The sequence below is a fragment of the Homo sapiens genome, chromosome 10, assembly GCF_000001405.40.
Source record: "Homo sapiens chromosome 10, GRCh38.p14 Primary Assembly".
Classification (NCBI taxonomy): domain Eukaryota; kingdom Metazoa; phylum Chordata; class Mammalia; order Primates; family Hominidae; genus Homo; species Homo sapiens.
Genome location: NC_000010.11, coordinates 43,176,676 through 43,196,424, shown reverse-complemented (window position 1 = coordinate 43,196,424; position 19,749 = coordinate 43,176,676). Strand labels below are relative to the sequence as shown.

At 41.3% G+C, this 19,749-nt stretch overlaps 2 protein-coding genes across 12 annotated transcripts in view, besides 1 other annotated feature; one reads left to right on the top strand and one right to left on the bottom strand.

Moving 5' to 3' along the window:
* The window catches only part of RASGEF1A (RasGEF domain family member 1A), a 72,531-nt gene extending 70,641 nt beyond the window's left edge, over nt 1–1,890 (top strand). For all 4 annotated transcript variants that reach the window (NM_145313.4, NM_001282862.2, XM_005271809.4 and 1 more), the window contains one exon: nt 157–1,890. In NM_145313.4, the coding sequence (NP_660356.2) occupies nt 157–181 (25 nt within the window). In that variant the 3' untranslated portion in view covers nt 182–1,890. The remainder of the gene's footprint in view (nt 1–156) is intronic.
* Nucleotides 4,981–5,210: a silencer, noted in NCBI's record as "fragment chr10:43686663-43686892 (GRCh37/hg19 assembly coordinates)". NCBI's record gives its function as "represses an EF-1alpha promoter that drives an FKBP-Casp9 reporter gene in an ReSE screen in K562 erythroleukemia cells {active_cell/tissue: K562}" and the evidence as "EXISTENCE:reporter gene assay evidence [ECO:0000049][PMID:32094911]".
* Nucleotides 11,117–19,749, bottom strand: part of CSGALNACT2 (chondroitin sulfate N-acetylgalactosaminyltransferase 2) — a 46,864-nt gene continuing 38,231 nt past the window's right edge. For 6 of the 8 annotated variants that reach the window (XM_017016388.3, XM_047425439.1, XM_047425441.1 and 3 more), the window contains one exon: nt 11,117–13,175. In XM_017016388.3, coding sequence (XP_016871877.1) covers nt 13,166–13,175 — 10 coding nt within the window. In that variant the 3' untranslated portion in view covers nt 11,117–13,165. The remainder of the gene's footprint in view (nt 13,176–19,749) is intronic. The other 2 variants (NR_135077.2, NM_018590.5) reach the window with 1 other exon arrangement.

Here is a 19,749-nt window from a genome sequence, read left to right as displayed (position 1 = left end):
GGTGGGCACGAGGGTTACCCTCCTGGAAAGGGAGCCTGGGCACTGCCGCGTCCCTGGTCCAGGGTCCCTGGTGCATGTTTGGTGGGAGGCTGAGGATGGCTTGGACCCAAGCCGCCCTGCTCGGGCCTGAGCACTGCTTGTCCTGTCCCCCTCTAGGACCACCCTTCTGAACAGAGCCTGAGGCGGATGCAGCCCGCGACGCCAGAGGAAGCACGTGCACTAACTGGGTTTAAATTTTGACTGATGTGGGTTGAGATGAGGAGGCCTCACTGGTTGGGGTCCATTTTGTATATAACTTTTATGAGAAAAAAATGGTAATTATTTCACGCATCAACCTTTGGCACTTACAAAGTTTTTTTTGTTTATTTTAAATAACAGGGCAGGGCCCTGCTTTGGGGAGGGGGAGGGGAGAGTATCATGGGAGATGGTATCCATGATAACATCTTATTCTAATGAAATGTAGATTTTTATTTTCTACTTTTGATTATTAACATCTTATGAAAAAAATATTTTAAAAAACCCAGCCAAAACCAACGTGAGCCCTGCCTGCTCGGACGCCTTTCCAGCCAGTGTCTCTGACGTCGGGGTTAGTGCCTTAGAGGGTACTGGGGTCTGGTCTTCCTGCTCTGTGGTTTGGGCTGCGGTGAGTCCCACTCCACCTGGGCGCCTGCCCTCAGGAGCCTGGGCTGCGAGGCTCCATAGGAGGGCTGGTGGCTGGGAGGTCGCGTCCGCACACTTCTGGAAGTGAGCCTTTGAGTACGGGCTGTCCAAAGTTTACATTTTCATTTTCCTTTCAGGGATTTGTGGGGTCAGGGAGGGGCAGGGGGCACCTGGCAGCATATTTTCTGTGACAATGTGTCCAGCAAATCATTCTTCAACTACATTTTAGAAAGGAGGAAATCTAAAATAAGGTAAGGGAGGGAAGCATGGAGTTGTCAGTTTTCTGGGCTGTGACTGAAAGACACACTGAGCTGTGATGAAGAAAAATACATGGCCGACTCCAGGGTGGTGACATTTAGAGCTAGTCTTGAAACCTATCATCTACAGAGGGGAGGGCAGCCAACAGCCCTCTTCCCACCTGGGTAGGCAGCGCCCTAATTGGAATTGGAAACAGAAAATTCGCCAGGCCATACTGCTGGAGCCCATTCAGATAAAACTGCCCAATACTGAGAGGTGTTTTCTACACCCAGCTAGAGGAGCACACTCCATTTTCCCATGTCTGACTTCGTGGTGTGAGCCCTGGGCCCTACTGACCATGGCGCAGGACAGCTGTCCTTCAGAAAGCACACGGTCAATCCACGTGGACCGTCTCCCTCGCAGGAACTCCGCATCCTTGTCCCTCTGCATTCCCAGTTTCCGCAGGAGCCTTGATCAATGGGGAAGCCTGGGTGAGGATGGGCCAGGTCCCAATTCCCAAAGCTCCTGGAAGAGCCTGAAGACATTGGGAAAGGCTGGGCCTGGGGAGGAGGCAGCCCTGGGCCCGCTGCCCATGCCTCTGGTCCTGGGTGGAGCAGGAATAGTTCCACTGTATTGTCACAGTGTGTTTGCACTTTCTGAGGTTCTAGCTAGTACAGATTGTATATTGATAGTACATATTGCTTTGTTTATGTCTTTGAGATGAGAAAGGCTTAAAACTTGAGAATATATATTTGGAATACAGCCTTAGAACGGTTTCTGTACACACCCACGTGCACTTCACGGGTGATCAGTTCTAGTACCTACTTGAAACAGTGTCTGTCTGCTACTTTATTTTCCCAATTTGATACATACCCTGATTTGATGTTTTGGTATTTGAGATGAACTCTGAGTATGAAGCTGTACCATAATGCAGGACGTCAGTTTTGGTGTGACTGGACATACTTGCTTCAATAAAAGAATACATCACTCCCCTCCCTTGCCTGCTGTGTGTGTACAGTGAGGGGGTGGCCTTGCTGCTGGCCGGAGACATGGGTCCCCTGGGGCAGGGAGGAGGGTGAGGCTGCCAGGCCTGCTGTGGCCTTCCCAGGAGGGACTGGGCAAGAGACTTTTGTCTCCAGCTGGCAACACTTTGTGTGACAAAGGGCTTTCCACTGAATAAGGTGAGACTCGAAAGAAGCTATAGGAGGCACGTTCAGTCCTGCTTTCCTCATTGTGAGCTCCAAAAAGATGTCACTGGCTGCTGTATTGCATGGTCACATAAGTAAGTAAGTTCAGGATACCTAGTTAAGCCAGGCTGTATGGACTGTGTTACTGCAGAGGAGTCAGATGGCCTCTCTGGGGGCAGGGGAGGTTGGAGAGCCCCTGGACGCGATCCTGCAGGGCAGCCTGCAGAATGCAGGTCTGGAGGGGCCACTCCTGGTGTCATGAGTTTTATACTCAAGCGCAACAGAGAAGAGGGGTTCACTGGGGGAGCACATGAGAGCTCGGGAATTGAAGGAAAAAAACTAAGGCTCCAGAACAGGACATGGTACTCCCCTCTGCTCCTCCAACCTGCCCATTCCCACGGTTCTCAGGCCTGGACAGGGTGGGGACTGCACCCCAGGGATAACTCAGCTCATCTTTCACTATGTGCTCAGTGTCATCATTCCCACGAGGTGAGCGCCACCCAACAGAAACCTTTCTGGGGTAAGGGAATGTCCTGTATCTGTGCTGTCCAGTACAGCAGCTGCCAACCATATGTGGGTCCTGTCTGCTGGGATGTGGCTAGTGTGACCCAGGGGCTGAATTTGGGATGTGAATTTGGACAGCCAGGGGCCCGTGTTGGACAGAAGCTGGGCCTCGGGGCCTTGCCACCCCATGCAGTGGGCAGTGCAGGACAGGTGCTCGGGTGTCTGTGGAGCAAATGGGGACATGGAGATGATGCTTGAGCTTTTAGTGAATGACATTTTTTAGGTCTTTAAATCCAATGGCATCCCTAATTTCCTGGTGAAGAAGTTATTTTTGGAAGTGTTCATCTGCCTCAGCTGAAGAAGGGGGAGTGCATAATTTGCTCTGGCCTTGGATACAACCTCGAGCTGGGAGGGCCATCCCCTGCCATGGGCAGTTCCTCCAGGGCAGTGGCTTTCAAGTGTGGGTCCTTGGGAACCTGTTTGAATGTCCATTCTTAGGCCTCTCCACACACCTCCTGAATTGGCAATACGGTGGGGGCCTAGTCCAATCCCTGGGCCACACAGTACGTGTGAGAAGCACTCGGTGGGTGATAGTCTGTGTGCCTTGTGACCAGTACATCCCTGTGTGATGGCTGAGTGTCACCCTTCACAAACGTTGCAGGAACAAATGGATGTCAGAGTGTCAGATGTAGCAGAATGATAAGCTAAGGATCTGTAGTAAGCCATGGAGACTTCTGTGACACACACTGCTTGTGACACACACCGACCACGCCCATACGAGAACATAGACCCTGCTCCTCAGGGAGGCACAAGGCAGCAGGGAGGGAGCAAGGAGCCGGGGAAACTGGAGTGAGAGCTGGTTTCAGCCCCCAGCTGGAGAAGCTTGGACAAGCTGTTTACCTTATAGCCTCCATGTTTTTCATCTGATCACGGCTCTCTTGCAGGGCCGTGGTAGCAGACAGAGCAGGCACCTGGTTCATTGTCAGCACAGTCAGTGCTCGCTGTAGACTGGCCTTGGTGCCGAGGACGCCAAGCAGCACTTCTGCAAAAGGCCACAGCACCTTTTGGGAAAAGTGAAGCAAAGGCTTCTAAGAAGCAAAGGCAGACAGAGCAGGCACCTGGTTCATTGTCAGCACAGTCGGTGCTTGCTATGGACTGGCCCTGGTGCTGCGGACGCCAAGCAGCACTTCTGCAAAAGGCCACAGCACCTTTTGGGAAAAGTGAAGCAAAGGCCCCCTTCTCAAAGGAACACCTGGGGTCCTGGTCAATACGAAGCATGTTAGCATTCACCTAACATGTCACTGTTCACCTAACAGTCACTGTTCAATCCAACCAGCATAAAAATATAAATGGGAAAGAATTCCCACAAATTTGCATTCAAAACTTCAAGAAGCAAAACTTACAATCCATCTGCAGGCCAGTTTAGACCACGTTAACACAATTTCAATCTTTATTCCCAACAAGGAAGTCAGGATACTGTGAGGAAGGTGAGGGGCTGCTGAACACCCCACAAGTATCTACCCACAGCACCAGGATGCTCAGGTGCAGATGCTCAGGCGCGCTCAGCAGGGCTGAGTGGTTCAGCAACAGTGCAGGGAAGAGTGTAAGAAAGTAAACTGCGCCACTTGTGCATTTCTGGCAGTGTGAGAGATGAAGTGCGTGCCCACTGAAAACAACAGATAAAGTTGTACAAAATTTAAAAATCCAAGTGAAGGCAGGGAGCCAGAGAAGTCAGGGAAGCTCTGCAGCCTGCTTTGCCCTGAGGGTAAGGACCATGAGCTGCTGTTTTCAAGTCCACAGGGGTAGAGAAAAAAGTCCAGGGCCCACCTCAAGATGAAGAATCAAATAGGAGACCCCAGCCCATAAAGCTGGCATCCCAAAGAGCCACCCCTCGGTGCAGCAGTGAGCTTGAAATAAGGCGCTCCACCCAAACCCCACCGAGGGACCTAGGAAAAGCTCCCTGATTTGAATCTCAGCACTGAATGGAGGCAGGGAAATTTTACCTTCATAATTGATAATGATGAGTCAGTGAGCTTCACAAAATTTTGCAGCACAAATCAACACTGGTCCAACAAACTTCAAGCTAAGAATTCTTTGAACTGGCCCTGAACTGGTACTGCCCCTAAACATCCAGTAGAAACAAACATTCTGACTTATATTCCAGTTTTTAAAAAAATACCTCCTTAGGGCCTGGCGCGGTGGCTCACGCCTGTAATCCTTTGGGAGGATTTGGGAGGCCGAGGCGGGCGGATCATGAGTTCAGGAGATCAAGACCATCCTGGCTAACATGGTGAAACCCCGTCTCTACTAAAAATACAAAAAATTAGCCGGACGTGGTGGCGGGTGCCTGTAGTCCCAGCTATTCGGGAGGCTGAGGCAGGAGAATGGCGTGAACTCGGGAGGCGGAGCTTGCAGTGAGCAGAGATGGCGCCACTGCACTCCAGCCTGGGCGACAGAGCGAGACTCCTCCTCAAAAAAAAAAAAAAAAAACCTCCTTAGCTGTGTCTAATTTTGTTCAACCCATCTGCTGGATTTAAAAAATTCAATTATTGTAGTTTTCATTTCTAGATGCTCTATTTGGTTATTTTCCAAATCTGATCATAATTCTGAAGAAATTAACAGAATCTAACACAGAATAAAGCATTGGAAAACAAGAAACAGGTTGAGGCATGGAGGACACAACGGTTTTAACATGTTATCAGAGTTAGAGAAGCAAAGAGACAATGAGGCAGGAATCATTTTTGAAAATAAAACAGCTGAGAATTTTTCAGAGTAACAATCCAAGGAACCCGAAGAATCTCAAGCAGGACCAGAAAAAAAACAAACCCACATGCAGATGTATCATAGTGACACAGAACAGAAAAGAAGAGAGTGGACTGCTTTCAATGGATGATGGCTGTTACGCTGATGATTCACAGCAGAAATAACTGAAGCCAAGAGACAGTGGAATAGTAACTTCATTGTGCTAAAAAGAAGAATGATAGCCAATTTAGAATTCTCTACTTTTTAAAACTATTTATTAAATGAGAGATAATAAAGATATTTACAGACAAACTAAATGGCGTTTGCTATCCACAGACCTTCCCTAAAAGAAAAACTAAAGGATGGATCTTGACTCTTCCTGTAACCCATATACAAAACGATTTCCAGATGGATCACAGACCTAAATATGAAAGGCAATGCAATGAGGTGTCAAAAAAAGAATTAAAAAAAATTCTGGAGTAGGAAAGGTTCTTAAATTGGACACCAAAATCACTAACCATAAAAGAAAATTGGTTTTTATTGAAATTAAGAACTTTTGTTTACTGACAGATACCATTAACATAGTGAAAGAGAGGCTGTTGCTAGGAGAAGGTATGTGTAATATGTAAATCTGACAAAGGACTCAAATTCAGAATACAGAAGTAACCCCCACAAATCAACTAAAAAAAAAATCAAACTAATTTTTTTTAAAAAAGGCAGAAAAACTTCAACAGGCATTTCACAAAAGAAGATATCTAAATGGCCAATAAGCATATGATAAGGTACTTGACATCATTCCCTGATTATAAACTAAGATGAAAATAAGAACTGTACACACCCACTAGAAATTATAATTAAAGAGTTTAAATTAAAAACACTGGAAATACTGTGTCGGGGAGGAGGTAAAGCAACTGATCTCTCATACATGGCTGGTAAGGGTTATTTAAAAGGATTGAAAAAAATCTGCCTGCTCCTGGCAAAGCTGATCAAGAAAAAATAGAAGGCATAAGTATATCAGGAATGAGAAAAAAAGGATATCACTATAAATCGTATACATATCACACAGATAATAGGAGGATATTGATTTCATCTGAATTTTCAAATTTATCAGTATAAATTCCTAGAAAATTATGATTTACCCAAAATAACTCAATGAAAGCTTATTCTACAAACAATAGAAAGTCTGAATAGTTCTATAATTATTAAATAAATTGAACAACTGATCAAAAATCTTCCTAGATAGAAAAGTTCATGCCCAAGTGGCTTTCAGGCCGTTCTTCCAGGCAGTTCAATATTCAAGGAAGAAATTAATTCTAATTTTACAAAACTTTTCTAGAAACAGAGTAAGAAGGAACACTTGTAACTTAAGTTTATAAGCTAGTATAACCTCAACAGAAAAGCCTAATGAGGGCCAGGCATGGTGGCTCACACCTGTAATCTCTGCACTTTGGGAGGCCAAGGTGGGAAGATCACTTGAAACCAGGAGCTTGAGACCAGCCTGGACAACAAACCAAGACCCCGTCTCTACACACAAACAAACAAAAACAACAACAACAAAAATGAGTCAGGTGCAGGGGTGTGTGCCTGTGGTCCCAGCTACTTGGGAGGCTGAGGTAGGGGGATCACTTAAGCCCAGGAGGTTGAGGCTGCAGTGAGCCATGATCGCCCCCACTGCACTCCAGCCTTGGAGACAGAGCAAGATCCCGTCAATTAAAACAACAAATAAATAAACAAAAATGCCCAACAAGGAAGAGAACGGGAAGTCATAGGCAATCTCATTCATGAACATAGATTAAAAACACCTGAAGTATATACATACCCACACCCCCGACATGAATACATATGAGATGTGTAAATGTGAATACTTACATGTATGTATATGAAAGCAAACCAAATCAAACAATGTAAAATAAAAATAACACATCATGACTGACTGGCATTTGTCCCAAGAATGCAAAGCTACTTGAGAAAATCTATTAATTCATCAATTTAATACTTTAAAAGAGGGGAAAAAGTATATGAACATCTCAACAGATGTAGTAAAAGTATCTGATAAATGCTCTTAGGTAGGATAAAAACTCACTAAGTAATAACAGAAGGGAAGTTTCTTAAGTTGACAGGGTTGTCTACGAAAACACCTCCAGCAAACATCACACTTACTGATGAAACCCTGAAAGCACTGCTTGAAATCAGAAACAGGGCAGGGAGCCCACTATTACCACTTCCATCAGCATTGCACAACAAATCCTACCAAGCATAGGAGGACAAGAAAAAGAACTAAAGACCTAAAAATGGAAAGGAAACAAAACTCACTATTCATATGTATGATATGATGTAAAACAAGAAAAATGCAAAAGAATTCTAATTACTAGAATTAACAGTTTTTGGCAAAGTTTCTGAACACAAAAATTAACATGCAAAATCAATGATTTCTAAACACCAGTAACACAATAAAAGATAAGGTACAATGGTATCAAAAATGCAGAGTAACTATGAAGAATCTGAAAAACAGCATGTGTAAGTCCACAGTGTGAAAAATTATAAAATGTAATTGAAAAACAATAAAGCCAAATAGAATAGATTGGGAGACTTCATATCATAAAGACTCCCCAAAGTGATCTTACAGATTCAATGATATTCTAATCAAATTCATACATTTTTATGAAACCTAATAAGCGTATTCTAAAATTTATATGAAAGTACAAAGCCTATGATAGCCATAACGATCTTTAAGAACAAGGTGAGTGGAAAATGTGTCCCAGATATTCACTAGCATAAAATTACAGTAACTGATACCATGCAATGCTAATGGTGCAGTGATAGAGTGGTAGCCTAACGGAACAGAAGAGAGCATAGAATCAGACTCATGCACACAGGGACATCTGATGGATATAAGAATGGTTTTGCAGATCAGTAGGTAAAGTATGGATGTAGTGCTGGAAGTAAGTGAAATGCAATCCTTACCTACATCATACACAAAAATCTCTTCCACTTAGGTTAAAGACCTGAGAAAAGTGAAATTACATGGGAGATATTGAGAATATACAACAGTATTTTTAAAGAAATCCTTCCCTATTATGAGGTCATAAATCAATAAAAAGTAGAAACCAATTCCTCATTAAAGAAAATACACATCACTTGAGAAGAAGATACACATTGCTTGAGCCTAGGAGTTTGAGATCAGCCTGGGTAAATAGGGGGACCTCTGTTTCTATTAAAAAAAACAAAAAAAAACTAGCCAGGGCAGGTGGTGCATGCCTGTGGTCTCAGCTACTCAGGAGGTGAGGCAGGAGGATCACCTGAGCCCAGGAGGTCGAGGCTGCAGTGAGCCATGATAGCGCCACTGCATTCCAGCCTCTAGCCTCCTGGGCAACAGTGTGAGACCTTGTCTCAAAAAAAAAAAAAGAAGATATACAGATGGAAAATAAGCACATGAAGAGATGCTCCACATCATATGTCATTAGGTAAATGTAAAGTAAAACAACGAGATACTACTATGCACCTACAGAATGGCCAGAATTGAAACACTGACAACACCAAATGGTTGCAAGGATGTGGAGCAACAGGAACTCTCATTCACTGCTGGTGGGAATGCAAAATGGTACAGCCACATTGGAAGACAGTTTGGCACGCTCCTACAAAGCTAATAAGCTAAACATACTCTTATCATATGATCCAGCAACTGTGTTCCTTGTTATTTGTTCAAAGGTTGAAAACATGTCCACACAAAAACCTGCACGTAGATGTTTATTGCAGTTTTATTAATAATTGCCAACATTTGGAAGCAACCAAGATACCCTTCAGTAGGTGAATGGGTAAACTGTGGTTACATCCAGACAATGAAATATTATTCATTACTAAAAAGAAATGAGCTCTCAAGCCATAAAAAGGCATGGAAGAAACTTAAATGCATACTACTAAGATAAGAAGGCAATCTGAAAAGGCTACATACTGTACGATTCCAACTATATGACATTCTGGAAAAAGCAAAACTATGGAGACAGTGAAAACATCAGTGGTTGCTAGAGGTTAGAGGGTAGGGAGAGATGAATAGTCAGCCTAGAGGATTTTTGGGGCAGTGAGACTGTTCTGTATCATACTGTAACACTGGATGTCATTATACATTTGTCTAAACCCATAGAATGTACAACAAGAATGAACCCTAACATAAACTATGGACTTTAGGTGATTATTTTGTGTCAATGTGGGTTCACTGGTTGTAACAAATGTACCACTGTGGTGACAGATGTAGGTAACAGAAAAAACTGTGCATGTGTGTGGGCAGGGGGATCTAAGGAAACTCCACGTACCTTCTGTTCAATTTTTCTGTGAACCTAAAATTGCTCTAAAAAATAAATTCTATTGAAAAAAGTAGAAATCATAAAGAAAAAAGATAGTCACAATAAAGTTAGTTTTTTATTTATCAAAAAGTACCACCAAAAATGGGAAAAGACAAACCACATTGGTCTTGATGGGAGAAGATATCTGCAAACATTAAACCAACAAGAACTGGTATCCGGAATATGTGAAGAATCCCTGTGAACTGGTAAAAATGAACAAAAAGACTGGAGATAAATCATAACTACAGTTCATGCCTAAAGCCCACTAAATTGGCAAGAATTAATAAGCCTGACAAAATTAAGTACTGTCAAGGATGCAAAATGAACTCACCCAGTGGTGGAAGGTGGTCCACTTTGGAAAGTTAAACATGTGCACAACCGATGGCTCAGCATTTTTACTCCTGGAGAAATTCTGGCACACTTACAGGAGATGTTCACGACAACACGCATGCAACAGCAAAAGCAAACCACAAAAATCTACACAACCCAAATAGTTACCAACAAGAGAATATAAAAACAACTTGGAAACAACCCAAGTATCTAGTAACAGTAGAAGAAGTATAGTAGTACATTCATACTGAAGGGGTTAAAATATGCCATTCCGGCATACTATTTAAATTAAAGACACATGAAAAACAGCAGGTGCAAAAAGGTGATTGACCTTTGTGCTGTTTCTTAAGAGCAGGAGATGGATTCCAGTGTGAAAGACACTCTCTATACTGGAAGAAAAGGCAACAAACATCTTTATCTTCAATGACGAGAAGTTTGAGACCAGGAGAATATTGTACAGACCTTGTTAGAATAACTATTTTTTAAGGCTCCCGCAAAATACAGTCACATTTTCACAGTTTACTAGTCTTTGTCCAATTCAGTATGTAAGTAACTGACTCTACTTCTTTTGGTTTTATTTCTTTATGAGGGCTCCTGCACCACATAAAATTTGTATTACATCAATTTATATGCTTTTCTCTTGTTAATCTATCCTATGCCAATTTAATCTTCAAGGCCAGCTGGGACCCTGAGAAGATGGGAGGGAGTTTTTCCCCTCCCTACAGTACAATGAAATACTACTCAATAATAAAAATGAACTAATTTTGAGAATAATATGAGTGAACCTCAAAAACACTGAATGAAAGAGAATATATAATGAAATAATAATGTATATAAATTCAAAACCAGGCAAAACAGTCTATTGGGAGATACGTAACTGGGAAAACTAAGAAGAAAAACAAGTAAAAACGATCATAAAAATCAGAGTGTGACTGTTATGGAGAGGGTGAGCACAGGTGATCAAGAAGGGGCACAAGGGGCCTGTCCCCTGGTAATGCCCCATATTTTAACGTGAACAGCTGCGGCACTCGTGTTTCATTTTTAAAGTACACAATTACATGTTATACGTAATGTTCTGTCTTTATGATACTTTACAATAGAAATAAATTTATCACATTTTCATTTAACTTTTGGTAATAAAATACTTTATTGGTACCATTTAATAAATGTCAAAAACGTATAGCATTTCCATTGCTTAGCTTCCATCTTTAAACTTAAAGCTAGTTAAAAACAACAGGAACAAAAGTAAACTCATTTGATTCTCTCAAAAAACAAGCTGTAACTTACCTTTGCAAATAATTAAGTTCTCTCACTTTAAATATCGTAATTCACTGGTCTTCATAATAAATAATTATAATAATATATAAAAGGAGACAGTGGCCTGAATTATTTTGCAGAGAACATTTCACACATCTTTTAAAAAAATCACTAAACTACCACAACTTAAAACTTGTAAGAATAATTAGGTAAGAGTTATTGTAATATTGAATTAATATAGCACCTAGAAATTTGAAATTTGTAATATTTCAGATGATATGATTTACTGAGAAAAAGAGTAATGATTTTTCTTCAGTGAATTTTCAGGGGTTTTCAACATAGGTCTCTTTTAAAAGGGTTAAAAAATTTATGCATACTAGGAATTGACCTGATGGTAACAGATCCATGTGTGACAAATAATGTAGTGCAGTCCTATCTGAATATAATTTCTTTTTCACTTTGTCTCATTAATTTATACCTCAATTAAAACATTCTATATGCAAGTGACATATTTCTCTAAAACATTCCGTATTTCAGATTTCCATTCAGACTATCTTCCCCTCCTCCCTTTTCTCAAATCAGAGTGATCTTGTGGCATACCATTTGCTTTTTCTCTCCACAATGAAACTCTTTTTCAACTCAAAGTATTATAGTAATGCAAATACAAATGTAGCATATATTAATATATTAGAAAAAGGATAGTAAATACATATGGATCCATGCCAAATTAGAAAATTGAAAGCAAAAACAAACAAAACCATGCTATGCTCATCTATTCTGAACCACCATGGGAAGACCCTGATAGAGCTGGCTCAAATAAACTAATGTTCCCAGACAGAGCTAGGATCCTGTATTCCAACATAATTAAATGCTCTGTTAAAAATGTTTCCGTGTTCTTTTCTGTTTGTTCAAAATAGTTTACAGCAACTGACTACTAATCCTAATCCTGAACATGATAATGTAATAACATATTTTTAATCAAGCCATAGATTCTAACCTATTTTCTACTATTACCCATTTGCTTAAAAACAGACTTTCAGGGGTGTAAGCAACAGTAAGTTAAGGAGTTTTTAGTTCTACCTTTCTCTTGATTGATTGATTGGGGATTTCAGATGTGTCAATTAATTATCCTCTATTTCAGTGGAAAAGGATTCTTCAAGCTATCAAGTCAAGGAGGCTGACTCAGGGGCGGGCAGGTGAAGATACCTATCCACATACTATGCTCATAACGCTCCATCTCCTCTGTAAGAATGTGCTGCTCTCCACCCAACAGTGGCCCAGCACATTCCATCCGCTCCACCTAGATGCAATCAGGACACCATGCAATCCCACACACAATCAGAACATGGGCACCAGGTAGAACTAACTCAAAACAACTTTTGGGACAAATATGAGATTTCAATTTGTCAATTATTCCATAGTGCAGTATTCTCACAAAACAGAGATTTTGTGTTGAAACATTTGTTTTTTCTTCTCACATCAAGTTGAATTGCTAAAGTAATGTCAGAAAGAACATGAAAAATAAACATGTCTTCTCCAAAAGAGGCACTGCATCTGGAAGTAGAAGTAAGGCTAAATAAATAGTGCTGTTTTGTGGTTCATACAGTAACGCATTAATTATGATTTCAACCAACAGCTTCACTGTTTGTCCTGTATGCCTGTTTATGAAGATGCGTCTCTATTTCCTCCCTGAAGACCAGCATTCCCAGGTGGGAGTGAGAGGCCTCATTCATGGCTTTAGACTGGATGCACATGCGGTACTGCTCGGGGGTCAGCTCATCAGCACAGCGCTTTTCATGCCAGAGGTGGAAAAGACCAGGAACCGGAGTCCGAATCACAATGAGGTCACCATGTAAGTATTTTCGATAAAGATGAACATCTTCTCCACCCCAACCTTTCACTTCCATGTCAAATCCACCTGTAAGATCAAAATTGACACTATAAATAACTGCCTATTATTAGCCAGAGCACAGGGATATATATAAAATTTTAAATGTTCTGCTTCAAAAGGGATGGGATGGTTCAGCAAAAAGGTAGCACGAGACACCTGGCATGGAGGAGTGACTCCCAGTCACCGGAAGTCCAGTTTTGAGCTGACACTTGGACTCAAGGAGCTCAAGGTTGGTTGTTGACAGTATCAAAATGGGGTTAAATATTTAAGAACACTTTGTAAATTTCAAAGTCCTGTAGAAAATCTACAAAAAGTCAAATAAAGGAGAAGAAAATACAAGTCACCTATAATCTCACCACCATTAACTTTTTATGTTTTCTTTTTTTTTTTGTTTTTTTTTTTGAGACAGGGTCTCACTCTGTCACCCAGGCTGGAGTGCAGTGGTGTGATCATGGCTCACTGCAGCATCGACCTCCGTGGCTCAGGCGATCCTCCCATCTCAGCCCCGAGTAGCTGGGACCACAGGCGCATGTCACCATACTCAGCTTTTTTTTTTTTTTTGGTGGAGATGGGGTATCACCATGTTGCCCAGGCTGGTCTCGAACTTTGGGTTCAAGTGTTCCGCCCACTTGGCTTCCCAAAGTGCTGGATTGCAGGCATTAGCCACTGCGACCAGCCACATTTTCTGTCCTTTGAGACACACGCTTTTCTGGGCTATAGAAAAACTCCCCAGAGTGGAAAAAGAAGAAAGGGCCAAGCTGGAGATATAAATTTGAGAATGGGTCCATAGATTATTTAAAGCTACAGGAATGAATGAAATTACTGAAGGAATTTGGAAGGAAAACAGGGCCTAGGTCTAAACACTAAGAAATGCCAATTTCTAGAGGTTAAATAGAGGTAAAGAAAGTTAAGTCAGGAAATGAGATTGAGAAGTGGCCCCAGGTGAGGGAGAAAATTCTGGAAAAGGTGCCATTGTAGTAGCCACGTGAAGAAAGTGTCTTGAGGAAGAAGTTGTCAAGTGTGTGCTATTCAGTGAAGAATTTAAGAAGAACTGACTGGACCTGGCAGCATAAATGTTACTTATAAACTTCCCCAGAACAATTCTGATAGAGTGATGGGGCAGAAGGCTAACTGGAGTGGGCTGCTGCAGGAAGTCAGGGACCCCGAATGGAGGGACTGGCTGAAGCCATGGCAGAAGAACATAAATTGTGAAGATTTCATGGACATTTATTAGTTCCCCAAATTAATACTTTTATAATTTCTTACTCCTGTCTTTACTGCAATCTCTGAACATAAATTGTGAAGATTTCATGGACATTTATCACTTCCCCAATCAATACCCTTGTGATTGCCTGTCTTTACTTTAATCTCTTAATCCCGTCATCTTCGTAAGCTTGAACTCCTGACCTCAGATGATCCACTCACTTCGGCCTCCCAAAGTGCTGGGATTACAGGCGTGAGCCACCGTGCCTGGCCTGTCAAATAATTTTTATTTTTCAGAGATGTGTTCTCACTCTGTTGCCCAGGCTGGAGTGCAGAGGTGCAATCATAGCTCACTGCAGCCTCCATCTCCTGGGCTCAAGTGATCCTTCTGCCTTAGCCTCCTTAGTAAGTGGGACCACAAGTTCGAGCCACCATGCCCGGCTCCTGTCAAATAATTCTATCCCACTTAATTTCACATTAACAGGATGGACAATAATCTGGGGATCTCTGAAAAGTATTAAACAATCAGAGCTTTACTAAATGCTATGTCTGATACATATCAGCTTTTCTTCCTTGTAGATATAAGCTCTTAGAATATTAGAGATGGTACATATACTTAAAACAAATGGGGCATTCTCAGTTTCTGGTCTGGCATGCCTGGAGCTAGAAGTCATCACTCCATCCTAACAAGTCAAAAGCTGAACACTGAAAAAGCAACAACTCCTCTTAGGTCTCTCACAGAGAAGTGAGGTCACAGGGTAAACCACTGCCCTCAAAACTGGTGAGACAGATAGGCAGATACAAAGAATTCCAACTTACTGGAGCAGAAATCTCTGTGGGGACCAGTACCCAGGTAGGAAAACCCTAACTGTAATCGACAAATTGCTGGAGGCTCAGGGGAGGTAAGTCTGAGTGTTAAAAACTCCAGGGGGACCTGGTCATATTGGGACCCCCATACTCATGTGAGTTTTACCTCTAGGAGCTCTATTAGGTCCTCAGTGGTGAAGATCAGAGAAAAATCTCTTAATGCGTCCAGCAGTGGGGAAGGGGAAAAGGTAATCATTTTAAAGTATGCCACAGCATGTTGTCATTATTAACAAAGCCTGTCCTTAGGAGAAGTTATTTAACCAGAGCCTAACCTGCTGGGGTTTTATCAGTGCCTAACTGACTTGGAGGAAGAAATCTACCCAACTAGAGCCCCTTCTAGTCATCCTGTCCAGGAGAGGAGGGGAGACTGAGAAGCATGTGTGAAATTCAGAGTCTGGGATACAGGATCACTAAGAGATTGAGACTTACTTATGGGACTACAGAACACTTCCGCTCCCTCCACACTTCACCACCACATCATCAAAGGCCTATTTATTGCAGTTCCTTTTACGCAGTATATCAAGTCCAACTTTCAACAGAAAACATGACAAGGTATACTAAAAGTTAAGAAAAACACAGTATGAACAGACAGAGCATGTACCAGATCCAGATTCAGATACAGCAGGGATGTTGGAATTATCAGGCTGGGAATTTAAAACAACTATGTATAATACTCTAAGGGCTCTAATGGAAAGAGCAGATAACACACAAGATGCGGAACATAAGCAGTGAGATGGATCTAAGGAATTTAAAAAAATGCTAGAGATCAAAAACACTGCGAAATAAATGAATGCCTTAGATGGGTTCATTAGTAGACCGGACTTAGCTTAAGAAACAATCTCTGAGCTTGAGGATATGACAATAAAAATTTCCAAAACAGAAAATCAAAGAAAAAAAAAGACTGAAAATAAAATGAACAAAATATCTAAGAACGGTGGGACAACTACAAAAGATGTAACATATGTATAATGGGAATACCAGGAAGAAAGGAAACAAGGGAACAGAAGCTCCAAATAAAGAGTCTAAGTTCTAAACAGGTGCAGCTCTTTTTCACCCAGCCCACAGCAACAGGGTGGAGGCTCCACTTCCAGGTGTGGCCAGCTGAGAATACTGGGGGTCCTCCTGCCCCTACCCAGTGTCCTGCTCATAGGGCAGAGGTGGTCACTCTGCTTAATAAGTGTGTCACTGTCCCCATCCTCAGGGCAAAACCTCATGGATTTTTTCCCCCGGGGGAGAGGAAGTCCATAAGAACAAAGTGCTCCAAAGTTCTTCCCTAAGGAACTGACTTTATTTAAAATAGAATGTAGAGAAGTTCAGAGTTTAGAGAAGTTCCAGCCTCTTGAAAATAATGGAGATTTTGGTAGTAAGCAATTAAGAGGAGGCTGGTAACTCCAGGAGGGCAACAGCTAAACTGTAGGCCAGCTAATTTACTAGAGAGAACCACAGAGAGAGATAGTAAGAATATACCTCCTGGGGTCTGAACAAATCTCAAAGACTTGCTGCAAAAACTATCCCTGCAAAAGGGCCCAATTTAGTAGGGACAGATTATGGAGCAATTTATGCCCCAGAGCATTGTCAAAAACAAGACAGCAATTAGTGAACAGTCAGTGGAGTCTAATAGGAGTGATACCAATGGAGGCATGGAAAGAGATAAAGAGAGCCCTGCTAAATCCAATGCCATCCTAGGATAACTGCACAGGCCCTGAGGAGCAACAGCAGAGGCTTCATATTGCCAAAAGGTCGGGGAAGGAGGAAGAAATAATTTGTTAAAATAGTCCAGCCATGTCAATAAATAAATAAACAAGGAAAAAAAAAAACCAAGCCGTGGTGGTAGAGGGAAATCAGTATCCAGAGTTGCCACAGTGTATTACCTAAAATGTCTAGTTTTCGAAAAAGAAATAATGAGGAATGCAAAGAAACAAGAAGATGTGACATACGCTTAAAAAAAAAAAAAAAACCGGCAAGCAACAAAAACTGCCTGTGTTAGGGCCCAGACATTAGCTTTAATACACAAAAATTCCAAAGCAGCCATTGTAAGTATGTTCAAAGAATTAAAAGAAGTCACACTTAAGGAAGTAACAGAAGATGACAATGTTTCATCACATAGAGTATTAATAAAGAAATTATATATATATCAAAAGAACCACATAGAAATTCTGAAGTTAAAAACTATAGTAACTGAAATAAAAATTCATTAGAGTAGCTCAACAGTAGATCTAACAGAAAAAACAATCAGAGAACTTGGATAGATCAATAGAAATTATGCAATCTGAAGAACAGAGGGAGAAAAGAATGAAGAGAAATAAACAGAGCCTAAGAAAAATGTGGGATACCATTAAATGTACCAACATACATACAGTGAGTGTCAAAGGAGAAAACTATGAGAATGGAGCAGAAAAAGTATTCAAAGAAATACAGTCAGCCCTCCATATGCATGAGTTCCACATCCCATAGAATCAACCAACATGGTTCAAAAATATTAGGGAAAAAAACGATAAAAAATAACAATAAATATAAAAATTTAAATACAATATAACAACTATTTACATAGTATTTACATTGTATTAGGGTTTTTTTTTTTTTTTTTTGATGGAGTCTCACTCTGTTGCCCAGGCTGGAGTGCAGTGGTGCAATCTCGGCTCACTGCAAACTCCGCCTCCCAGGTTCATGCCATTCTCCTGCCTCAGCCTCCCAAGTAGCTGGGACTACAGGCGCCTGCCACCACGCCTGGCTAATTTTTGTATTTTTAGTAGAGACAGGGTTTTACCTTGTTAGCCAGGATGATCTTGATCTCCTGACCTCGTGATCTGCCCGCCTCGGCCTCCCAAAGTGCTGGGATTACAGGCGTGAGCCACCGTGCCTGGCCTGTATTAGGTATTATAAGCAATCTAGAGATGGTTTAAAGTATATGGGCAGATATGCACAGGTAATATGAAAATATGTATATTTACATAAGGGACTTGATCGACCATGGATTTTGGTTCCACATGGTATCCTGGATCCAATCCCATGCAGGTACTGAGAGATGACTATAATGGCTGAAACTTCCCAAATTTGATGAAAAACATTAATGTACATATTCAAGAAGCCCAAGAAACTCCATAACCCAATTAAAATGGGCAAAGGATCTGAACAGACATTTCACTAAAGATATACAAATGGCCAATAAACACATCAAGAGATGCTCAACAACATTAATCATAAGAAAAATTATAATCAGAGTCACAATCAATACCACATCCACTATCATGGGTGATACTAGAAACAAAAAGATAATAACATGTATTAATGAGGATGTGGGGAAACTGGAACTCCTAAACACTGCTGGTGGGAATGTAAAATGATGCAGCCACTTTGGAAAACGGTGTGGCAATTTCTCAAAAGGTCAAACACAGGATTACCATATGACCCAGCCAGAGTCCTGGGCATATGTCCAAGAGAATTGAAAATCTATGTCCACCCAAAAAGTTAAACACAAATGTTCACAGCAGCAGTATTTATAATAGCCAAAAAGTAGAAACAACTCAAATGCATATAAACTGACAAATGGAGAAACAAAATGTGGTATAACCACACAATAGAACATTTTTTGGCTATAAAAAGGAATGAAGTACCTAACATGTCACAACATGGATGAACTTTGAAAACATTATGTGAGTGAAAGAAGCCAGTCATAAAAGGCCACATATTGTACAATTTGCTTTCTATTAAATTCCCAGAAGAGGCAAATCTATAGGAAGTAGACCAGTAGATGCCTAAGTTTGGGGGGAAAGAGGGTTGGTAGGATGTGAGGAGTGATTGTTAATGGGTATGGGATTTCTTTTTGGGGTGAAATGCTCTAAATTTGATGGTGGTGATAGCTACATGACCTGGTTAACCGTACACTTTAAATTAATAAATTTTATGATATGTAAACTATATCTCAATAAAATTGTCATAAAAAAGAGATAAGGAACTCAAAGCATTCAAGATACTGAAAAAATGTACACAAATCTATTTTTGAGGAATAGTGAAATGCTGCTTGCTTAACTAAGCAAGAAATCAAGGAAAAGAGCATCAGTTTAATTTAACGCCCCTTTTATTGTTATTTCCTGATTTTCCATTATTCAAGTGTTACAATGATAAGGAGACAAGGTGGGGGGATTTCCAAAACAAAAGGCTGGTTATAAAAACGAATGTGATATGGACCTAGAATGTATATAAAATATATTCTATGACTTCTATGCTGTAGAAAGGTAGCTAGCCCTAAATGAATCAGAAGACATGGAATCAGGTTTCAGCCTGCTTTATTAAACTATTCTTTGACACTTTATATTTTGCTGGGTAAGACTGAAGCTAGGGGCTGGGCATGGTGGCTCACGCCTGCAATCCCAGCACTTTGGGAGGCCAAGGTGGGCAGATTGCTTGAACCCAGGAGTTCAAGACCAGCCTAGGCAATATAATGAAGCTCCGCCTCTACAAAACAAACAAAAAAATTAACTGGGTGTGGTGGTGCACGCCTGTGGTCACAGCTACTTGGGGATTGAGGTAG